The 9662-nt window shown below is 51.5% G+C and overlaps 1 annotated feature.

The window, feature by feature from the left end:
- Window positions 409-598: a silencer, noted in NCBI's record as "fragment chr20:44952422-44952611 (GRCh37/hg19 assembly coordinates)". NCBI's record gives its function as "represses an EF-1alpha promoter that drives an FKBP-Casp9 reporter gene in an ReSE screen in phorbol 12-myristate 13-acetate-treated (for megakaryocytic differentiation) K562 erythroleukemia cells {active_cell/tissue: K562(+PMA)}" and the evidence as "EXISTENCE:reporter gene assay evidence [ECO:0000049][PMID:32094911]".

Here is a 9662-nt window from a genome sequence, read left to right as displayed (position 1 = left end):
AGGCTCGGATCCCTTATGTGACCTCCACTCCCATCTCTATAAATCAGTTTCCCCATCTATAAAATGGGTAGGTTGGCACCACCGATATTGGAGGTCACTGCCACACCGACAGGCTAGCATTCCAGGGTGGGGGGTGGGGGTGTAGGCAGTGGTGGGAGGAGATTTGGCACCTACTACCCTGTCCCCACCTTTACACCTAGGGCAACGGCTGACCTCATTGACTGGAACTCAAGTAAGGAGCCCTTTTAAGCAACAAAGATTTCACCTTACAGATGAAAAGTCAGAAGCCCAGAGAAGAGCGGGCACCCACTTAAAGTTGCCCAGCCCTGTCAGGACCAGAGCCTGGGACTCAGGTTCCTTCCCTTCCTCCTTAGAAGGGAAGCAGAGAGGCCAGAGGCAGATCCAGAGCCTGGATTTTGCCGTTGCTGGGAAGCTTTCTCTGCCTCCTTGCACTCAGCGCCGCCTCTCTCCTCCTTGACTCCATGGAGACCCCCCACCCTCAGGGCCAGAGGCACCTTGCAGCAGGCGAAACTTGTCAGCCCAGCAGGGTCCTTCTGGTCCTCCCAGCCAGCCAGACTCCTCATCTCTGCTCTGAAGACAGCCTCTGGCCATGAGTGAGCAATGCTGTGCTCCACGTGCTCCACGCCACCTGATGCTCGCTGTTGGAGACACGTCCTTCCAGGTGAAGCATGGCCCTGTCAGGGAGTCACTGGGAGGGGCACCCGAGTAGCAGGGAACACCTGCTGTCTTTCCTTACCCTGGGTTTTATGTCCCTTATCTTTTGACCCTCCTTCCATTGCTGCCCGGGGTAGAGGGGTCGGTGTGTGCCCCGTGACGGCAAGGGGGAGACCAGGATTTGGGGCCAATTCTGCCACTTGCTGTGTGACTCTAGGCAAGCCACGTCACCTCTCTGAGTCTCTCCATAACCAGGGCTGTTTTAAGGAAACAATTAGATAATAAATGAAAGATATTAGCACGGTGCCTAGGACCTAGGCAGAGGTCGATAAAGAGTAGCTCTTATTGTTATCTGAAAAATGGGATTAATAATATCTAGCCTAGGACTCTTGGAAGGGATAATGACATAATGCATCTGAAACATATGGCAACATGGCAGGGGCTCCTTCAGTGACCATGCTGGGGTGAGGTGACTCCGAAACAGGGACATTCAGCTCATTTTAGGGCAAGGGGCCTATTCTCGTGGCTCCAAATGCTCACCAGGGTCATGGCCCCCTCATCAGCTCCCACTTGGGGCTGACTCTGGCCCCAGCCAGCCTTAGGGTGTTGTCCAAGCTGGAGATGCCAGCCTCGAGGGTGGGTGGGAGCCAGGGACCCAGGAAGACACACATGATCAATACTAAGCCAATCTCTTACAAGATTCCCCCGGCCTCTGGTATCCAATTGTAAAGAAAATCACTCCGCACACTAGGGAGATGTGAAAAATGCCGCAGATTACAGTTTGGGATGTTCTGAGTCAGAGTGAGTGAGTCCGGGATTGTTTCCTGCAGTAAATAATTCATTCACTTTAAATTTCGTGGTTTTTTTTTCTCACCAGCTCCCTCCCCGCCACCTCTGTCTCACTGCCTCTCCTGCCAGCTCCCTCTCAAGTCCACTCTCCACCCGGGAGGCTCCCATCCCTACCTAGGTCCAGGCAACCCCAAACCACCAAGGAGCTAATAATACAAATGTTTTGAGTCTGTTAATGACACTAATCGTCTTTTGCTGCTAATTAGTAATGCTGCCAAGGAACACTTCCTTGTTAATGAGGCCAAGGGCCACCCAGGCAGGAAAGCCTAGTTGGGAAAGGTTGCAACTGAGCTGGGAGCCAGGCAGGAGCCAGGCAGGCGGGCACCAAGGAGGCCTCTGGCAAGACCAAGGGCAGTCTGGCTGGTGATGGCTCCTACTCCGGACCCTGTCCTCTGCCTCACATGCTACATCACCCAGAGAGGATGGCTTGAGTGGGAGGCTGGAACCCGGCCAGGGGGCAGGTGAGTGGAGGCCAGGGAAAGAGATCTGGCTAGCGGTGGCCCCTTCACTCCCATCATAGACACTGCCAGGCCCCAGATCAAAAGCATGGAACAACTCCAATCTGAGTGCCAGTTCTAAGACCCATGGCTCAAATATGCTAATGGTGGGCACCTATGTGGAATCTCTTAGTACACAGTAATGGAATGTCTGGCAGATAACTGTTCAACAAGTAGACCCTGGGGAGGTGCTGGGCCCCCAAACGCAGATCAGATTCTGCCTTGATCTCCAGGAACTCCTGGCTTGGTGGAGGGAGACAGACAATAATGGCCAACATTTATTGATCACTTACTATGTGCTGGGCACTGAGCCAAGAACTCATGCCCACTGCTTCATTTATTCCTCCCCAAATCCCCATGAGGTGGGTATTTGAGTGGTTTGGAGCGTTTTTGTTTGTTTTTATTTTTCTGATAGGTACTCTTTCTATTTCCATTGTACAGATGAGAAATAGAAGGCCCAGAAAGGTCAAATAACTGGTCCAAGAGTGCAGTACAGCAGAATCAGTATGTGAATTCAGGCACCTGGATCTAAAGCCAGCTCTTTGAACCCAAGCCCTTTAACAGAGAAGTAAGAAGACGGTTTCAATTCAGTGTGCTCTAGTCTGCAATAGGAGAGGTTTGGGGGTTGTAGTCCTGGGTGATGAGTGAGGCTTCCAGGAGGGGGTGAGGTCTGGGTCTTGAGGGGTGCATAGGAGTTAGCTGGGGGAAGTAGGAGGGAAAGTAGAAAGGAATTCCAAAAGATGGGGCACTGTGAGCAAAGCAGGGCAGCACTCAGGTGGTCTAGCGATATCTGAGGGTAAGGAGTGCAGTGAGAACAGGGAGATATCATGCTGGGGAGCCCAGGAGAGGGGATGGAACTGCACTGAGGGCCATGAAGATCTGTACATGGAGAGCCCCAGAGAAGACCTGACTTCAGGATGCTCTCTCTGGACTACAGGATAAAGGGAATTGTGTGAGAGAGAGACAAGGGAGACTGGTGATAAAGCAGGAAAGGGCTGGCCAGGGATTGTGCTTGGGCCATGTGCTACTGGGATGGAAGGGGAGCAAGCAAAAGGTGATGGATTGAAGGTGGAAGCAGGATGGAGGAGTCCAGGAAGGCCACAGCAGCCTCCCAGGCAGATGCAAGGAGGGCCACCTTTCTTCTCCGACTCAGGGAACCACGCTAGGCCTCTCGGGATGGGGACACAGCCTGCCTATTCAATCCCAGCTTGAGTTGCAGGGGGCCCAGACACCAGAAGCTGATAAGGCAAGAAGTGTCCCCAGCCTGAAAGGACCCCTGGCCAACTACATCTTCTCCCATGGCAACTAAAACCCACTATTTCAATTTCATTCCCTTGGATTAAGTGTTGCCTGTTCTCTGGTAGGGAGATCATATTATGCCATGAACTCTTCGTAGACAGCATTGAGGACTCAAATTACATATCATTGTTTTCAGGGGCAGCTTTCTGGGGTTCCCCTAGACAGAATAAATTGTTCCTTCCTCTGTGGTCCCAGAGTGCCTCATATGTATGCACAGCCCTGATGATACTGGAGTAAGGATTTTTCTGTCTGTCTTCTGCATTAACCTGGGAGCTCCTGGAGCAAGATAATGGAGCAAGATCACAAGAGATCCTTTGTTTTATATGTGTTCTTGCAAATGAGCATGATTTTGTATAAATGCAATTTTTTCGTATGTATCTCCCCTCCTAGACTATGAGCCCTCTGAAAGTGGTCACTTGTCTTATTTTATATTGTTTTATTTTATTTCAATTATCACAAAGTAACATTGACTTTCTTTGGGCGCATAGTTCTATAAATTTCAACACACATATAAATTCATATAAGCACCATCTGAATGCACATTTAATTCAAATAGATGGTATTATGCCATAGATCCCAGTTGGTTCCTCGCTCCTTTCATCTCATGTTTTAAAGATCCGTCCATGGCCATCTCTACACTTGTCTAACAGTTGCCAGGACCTCTGCAGGGTGTGTCTCCCATGTCTTCCTGTACGCTCCCCCAGGGAGGAGAGGTGGGTTGCCTCCAACTCCCCTCAACACAGCATGGGCACAAGAATCCTCAGACTTGTTCCTCCCAGTCATGCTGAGAATTTCACTGAAATTTACACCCAGGAGCAGAATCTCTGGGACATAGGGTCAGCATATAAATAATGATCTCTAAATGCCACGTCACTCACAAAAGTGTCCTGGCCCATCTTGGAGGATGACCCATGACAGGCTAGGTGGAGCCAGCACACGTCACTAGGGCTGTGCCAGGTGTTCAAATGCTGACATCTTTCCATTCTGATGGGCAAATAGGTGGTTGCCTGTGTAGAGTTTCCCAAGGGCTCAGCCCACCTCCTTGACACCCAGCTCTGCCCCAGAACACCTGACTCTTCCCAGGATCCAGCAACTAATGGGTTACAAGTGGCCCAGCAGGGCCTCCAGGGTCTTGCTCCAATGGCCATTATTAACTGTTACACATTCGAATATCGTCCTTGTCCATGCCCTGTGCAGGGGAACAAGGCAGAGAGGAGCTCAGAGGTTGAGGTTCAAGTCTTCTTCAGCAGGTCTTGGCAAGCCCCCTCCCCTTGCTGGATTCCCACAACACGAGATCAGCACTTGCCAGACTTTCCTGAAACATGCTTCCATAGCCTCTTAGCCACTCTGGGAGCTGGGAAGTGGTTCTCCTCATTTGACAGAGGAAGAAAGAAGAAACAGGCCCAGAGAGCGGAGGTGACTCGCCCAAGGTCACCCAGTGAGCAAGGAACAGAGCTGTGACCCAAGAGATTGAACCCCAGCACACTCCTGCTTTGAAGGTCCCCGTGCCACACCACAGCACATGCATAAAATGCACCGACTCCCACTTCAGACCTCTCCTATGCATGAGTAGAGGAGGGATGAACAGAATTGGCACTGACTAGTTGGCACAATGCTAGATTTTGTAGACATTTAATTAAACACTTACTAATTTTGATTTTGCAGTTTTCTTTTTGTATTTTGGAGCTTATCTTTTCTTTTTTCCTTTTCACATCTTGAACTTTTCCATAGGCCCTTGACAACTGCCTGAATGCTGCCTGCAGTACTGGGCCAATCTGTCTCTCTGTCTCAGTCTTGGGACTTTTGGACACCCCTAGGCTGTGGCCAATCTGGGGAGAAGGGAGCACAGAGGTCAGTTAGCTGAGGTGCTCCCCTTAAGGACTCCAGGTCTGCCTCTGAGACTCAACATCCCCAAAGAAGAAGGTTTCCCAACGCAGGAGGTCCGTGCTCTGGCACATTCCAGGAGCTCAGCACAGAGAGAGTCTCAGGCCCAACAGCTGGGGTGGGAACAGCGCATTCATGGGGGAGGCTGGAAGTTATTGGTGAATGTTTTTAAAAGGTGGGGAGGTGGGGAAAAGTGGGGACCTGGAATGCCAGGATTCCAGGCTTAGAGACTTGGTCCAAATTAATAATGGCGCCAACGATACCTACCTCTGTTAAGCACCTACTGGATGCCAAGCACCATACTCTTATCTTGTTTAATCTTCATGACATCTGTGGGATGCAAGCAGGGCAGATAAACAAAATATTTAACCCTCAGTTCAGCACGTAGGATCAATCAGAACCACTGAGGCTGCAGCAGGTCCTCACGGCCGCCAGAGGAGTCAACCTTTAGTTTTTGGACCTTGGCAAGAGGAGGTGTCCGTAGGTGAAATGGGAGCAGGAGAGAACATTTGGTCCATGGGCTGGCCAGGACAAAAGTATTGCAATATTTTTTTGTGTGTGACAGAGTCTCGCTCTGTCACCCAGGCTGGAGTGCAGTGGCATGATCTTGGCTCACTGCAGCCTCTGTCTCCTGGGTTCAAGAGATTCTCCTGCTTAAGCCTCCTGAGTAGCTGGGATTACAGGTGCCTGCCACGATGCCTGGCTTTTTTTTTTTTTTTTAATTTTTAGTAGAGACGGGGTTTCACCATGTTGGCCAGGCTGGTCTCAAAATCCTGACCTCAAATGATCTGCTCGCCTCGGCCTCCCAAAGTGCTGGGTTTAAAGGCATGAGCCACCATGCCCGGCCCCATACTGCAATATTTTAACAAGCCCGGCTGAATATTGCTTCAGGTCATAGGCACTACTACCACCTGCTCCATTTTACAGTCAAAGAAACTGAGGCTCAGAGAGGTGCCACCCTAGTGGGGAGGTGCTACCTGAATTCAAACCTAGGCTGGGCTCACTCCAGGGCCTGCACCTTGAACCATTAGGCTTCTGATGTTTAGCTACCTTGTCCCAGTCCCAGGCACTCACATTCTGGCTACTTTCTCTTCTCCACAAAGGTTTCCCTGCAGTTGCCAGACTCAAAGGACCAACGGCAGCTCAGACAGAAGGAAGGGAAGGGTTAATTGGGCCACAGCCCAGGGCAGGCACAGCACCGCTCTTGGGCATGGCAGCCTCTGGCACCTGCCCTGGCCTTTCATCTCCACAGGCTCCAGGTGAGAGAAGCCAGAGCCAGACCTGCCAGGGACCCAGCAGCGTGGCTTCCCTTTGATTCCCGTGGAGCCCAGAATCAAAAGCAGGCGGCAGTGGCCAGTGCCCCAGGGTCCCCCCGGATGGCAGCCCCATGTGCCCTTTTCCCTTAACCACCAGCCTGGCCTGAGCCTCTGCAAGGTGAGGCTGGTGGGGGGCCCAACCTGCCGGATTCTCAGGGGACAGGCCAGAGCCAGAGAGGGGCTGAGGGAGGTTCCAGAGCAGAGGGGAAGGAGAGACAGCAGTGCAAGGCATGGGCTCAGGCCCAGGACCAGCTGTGGGGCACGGGGGGAGTTCCAGGAGGCTGGAGGAGGAAGAGAGTGGGCTCAGAAAAGCACAGAGCTTGGCCATGGCCCTTCCCGGAGGCACCCCTCGTGGGGTTCAGGTCGCGAGGTGAGAGCTGCGGGGGGCCGGTGAGAAAAAGCAGCAAATTTAAAAGGAATTAGTCAGGAGGAGGTGACAGGCCCGTTCTGAAGCAAGATGAATGGGTTTCAGTTGGCGAAAATGATTCTAATTTATAATCTGCTTCTTGCTGCCGCTCGCCAATTAATTCTCTATAGATACATAAATAGGCCGCATGTTTGCTTTGCTTCAAACGTAATAAACATTACACTCTGTCCCCTTCTTTTGTGCCGGTTCCTGTCACGGCATTAGTCCCCACAGCTAATTCCTCACACCTGTCTTTGCCGCTCAAGGGAGCGGGGCTGAGTGGGGAGGAAGTGCCCAGCTCCAGGAAACTCGAGGCACCAGGAGATAAATTGCTGATCCAAAAGCTGCCGACACCCACAGCGAGCCCGGGCTCCCCACTCAGGAGACGCCCAGGCGGCGAGGGAGGGAGGGAGGCACAGGGGAGTCCCTCCATCTTCCTTTTGAGACTCCTGTGTCACACTCTTTGGGACCATCTTCCTAATCCTAATGAGAGATGGAGGGAGGGGTAGGATGCCTTGTCCCATCTGTGGCCTCAGCCCACTGGGTTCCAGACACACCAGGCCCATTCTGCTTCCAGCTTTTGCACTTGCCATTCCCTCTACCCTAGGGAGCCACCTCCTTTATGTCTTTTTTTTTTTCTGAGATGAGAGTCTCACTCTGCCGCCCAGGCTGGAGTACAGTGGTGGAATCTCTGCCTCTTGGGTTCAAGCGATTCTCCTGCCACAGCGCCCCGAGTAGCTGGGATTATAGGCACACGCCACCATGCCTGGCTAATTTTGTATTTTTATAGAGACAGGGTTTCACCATGTTGGCCAAGCTGGTCTCGAACTCCTGACCTCAATGTGACTCACCTGCCTCGGCCTTCCAAAGTGCTGGGATTACAGGTGTGAGCCACCACACCTGGCATTCTTTGCATCTTTCTTTATGTTTCCCCTTCCCAGTGAGTTATTTCCCTGACTCCCCCGCCACTTCCTAAAACTGACACCCCCTCTTCAACTCTCCCCGTGCTCCTTTCCAGCTTTTAATTTTTCCTTGGTACCATCACCCTCTGACATTCTATTTATTCTGTGAATTTATCTTGTTTATTTTCCTCCCCAACTGGGATGTAGGAGCCCATGAGTCATCCCCACATTTGGTCCTGTATTCTCAGTGCTTGCCACATAGTAGATGCTCATTAATATTTGTTGAATGAATGAATGAGGTGGGGAGGGGGTGGGAGGGAGCAGCAGATGGGACCCACAGATTGAAATGACACCTCACTCCTGCTTGTCATCTCATCTGACCCCTGAGAGATGGCAAAACTGAGGCCAGGGGAGGCGAGACTTGCCCAAGGTGACACAGCGAGTTAGTGGCAGGGCTGGTACTAGGATCCCAGTCCTTGGCCTTTCTCTAAGGCAGCTCAGGCCAGGAATACACCTGCCAAACATCCTGCCAGGTGAGGTGTTGAGGCAACTGAAATTCAGGCAGGTGACATGACTTGCCCAAGGTCACACTCATTTAGTCACTGAAATGATTGAGTACCTACTATGTGCCAGGCAAGGTTCTAGGAGATGAGGATGTAGCAGCAATCAGGACAGAAAAGATCTCTGCCCTCCCAGAACTCACATCCTAGAGAGAGAAATGGGCATTGGGTGAGTTAATAAATAAATGTAAATGTTAGGAAGGGGTAACAGCTCAGAAGTTAAAGCAGGGTGAAAAGATTGGGTGATGTCACAGCAAGATGGAATAGGGGTGAAGTGCCATTTGCCGTGGGGTGGTCAGGGATGTTCTCTGTAAACAGGTAACAGCTGAGCAGGAGCGCCACTGACAAGAAGGAGACAACCTTGCGAGCACAGAGCAGGACCGGGATTTCCACTTGGATCTGTCTGCTCCAAAGTGTGTATTTTTCTCCACGAAAAATGAGCATTCCTGGCAGTAAGGAGCACTATCGGGTGAAGGAAGAAGCACTCAGCTCTGAGTGGGTGAGGTATGAGTTGAAGTCTGAAGCCTTGGTGAGAGAGAACAGACAGCAAGGGATGGAGCAGAGGCTGCTCAGCCAGAGACCACATGGGCAAAGGCCTGGAGGTGGAAGGCCTGGAGGTAGGAATGAGACCTTCAGGCAGAGGTGAGCTGGCTCTGGGGGAAGCAGGGAGCAAGCCCTGATTTGTATTGTTTATCATTTCTTTTTTGTGGTGTAAATATTCTCAACCTGGCCAATTTCAAGGGCTTGCCAACCTGGCTTGCAAAATTCCTGGAAAAAGACTCTAACAACTGGCTTTGATAAGCCAGCACAAACCAGTTCCAGCACATCACTGCTTCAGGTGTCAACAAGAGAAAGGCCAGGCAGCATCCACACAGGGAAGACGCAAGACAGGGCTTGGAAAATTACGTGTGGAGCAGAGAATCCTGGACCCCGGAAGGGCTCTTGGTCATCATGAAATCTTCCCCCACCTCTCCTCCTTTATTTTATGCAATAGAAAACCCAGGCCAAGAAAAGAAAGAACTAGAGACCTGCCCAAAACACAGAGAGAGTTGAGGTCGGAGCCACAGCCGGAAGATCTTAGGCTTCTCAGGATACCTAGCACTTTCTCCGTGGCATCCAACTGCCTGTTCCTAAGAAGTCGTCATCTGTGATGGCCCCATCAGGCATGAGAGTCAAGGGCTGTGCTACCCATGAGGGGCAGGAGGAGGGAAGAAAACAGGGACATGTGTTCCAGGTCCAGTGGAGTGCAGAGGTGGGACAGCTTCATGCCACCT

The sequence above is a fragment of the Homo sapiens genome, chromosome 20 (assembly GCF_000001405.40).
Source record: "Homo sapiens chromosome 20, GRCh38.p14 Primary Assembly".
Taxonomy (NCBI): domain Eukaryota; kingdom Metazoa; phylum Chordata; class Mammalia; order Primates; family Hominidae; genus Homo; species Homo sapiens.
The sequence above is the reverse complement of the archived record's forward strand: the minus strand, read 5'-3'. Positions and strand labels throughout refer to the sequence as shown.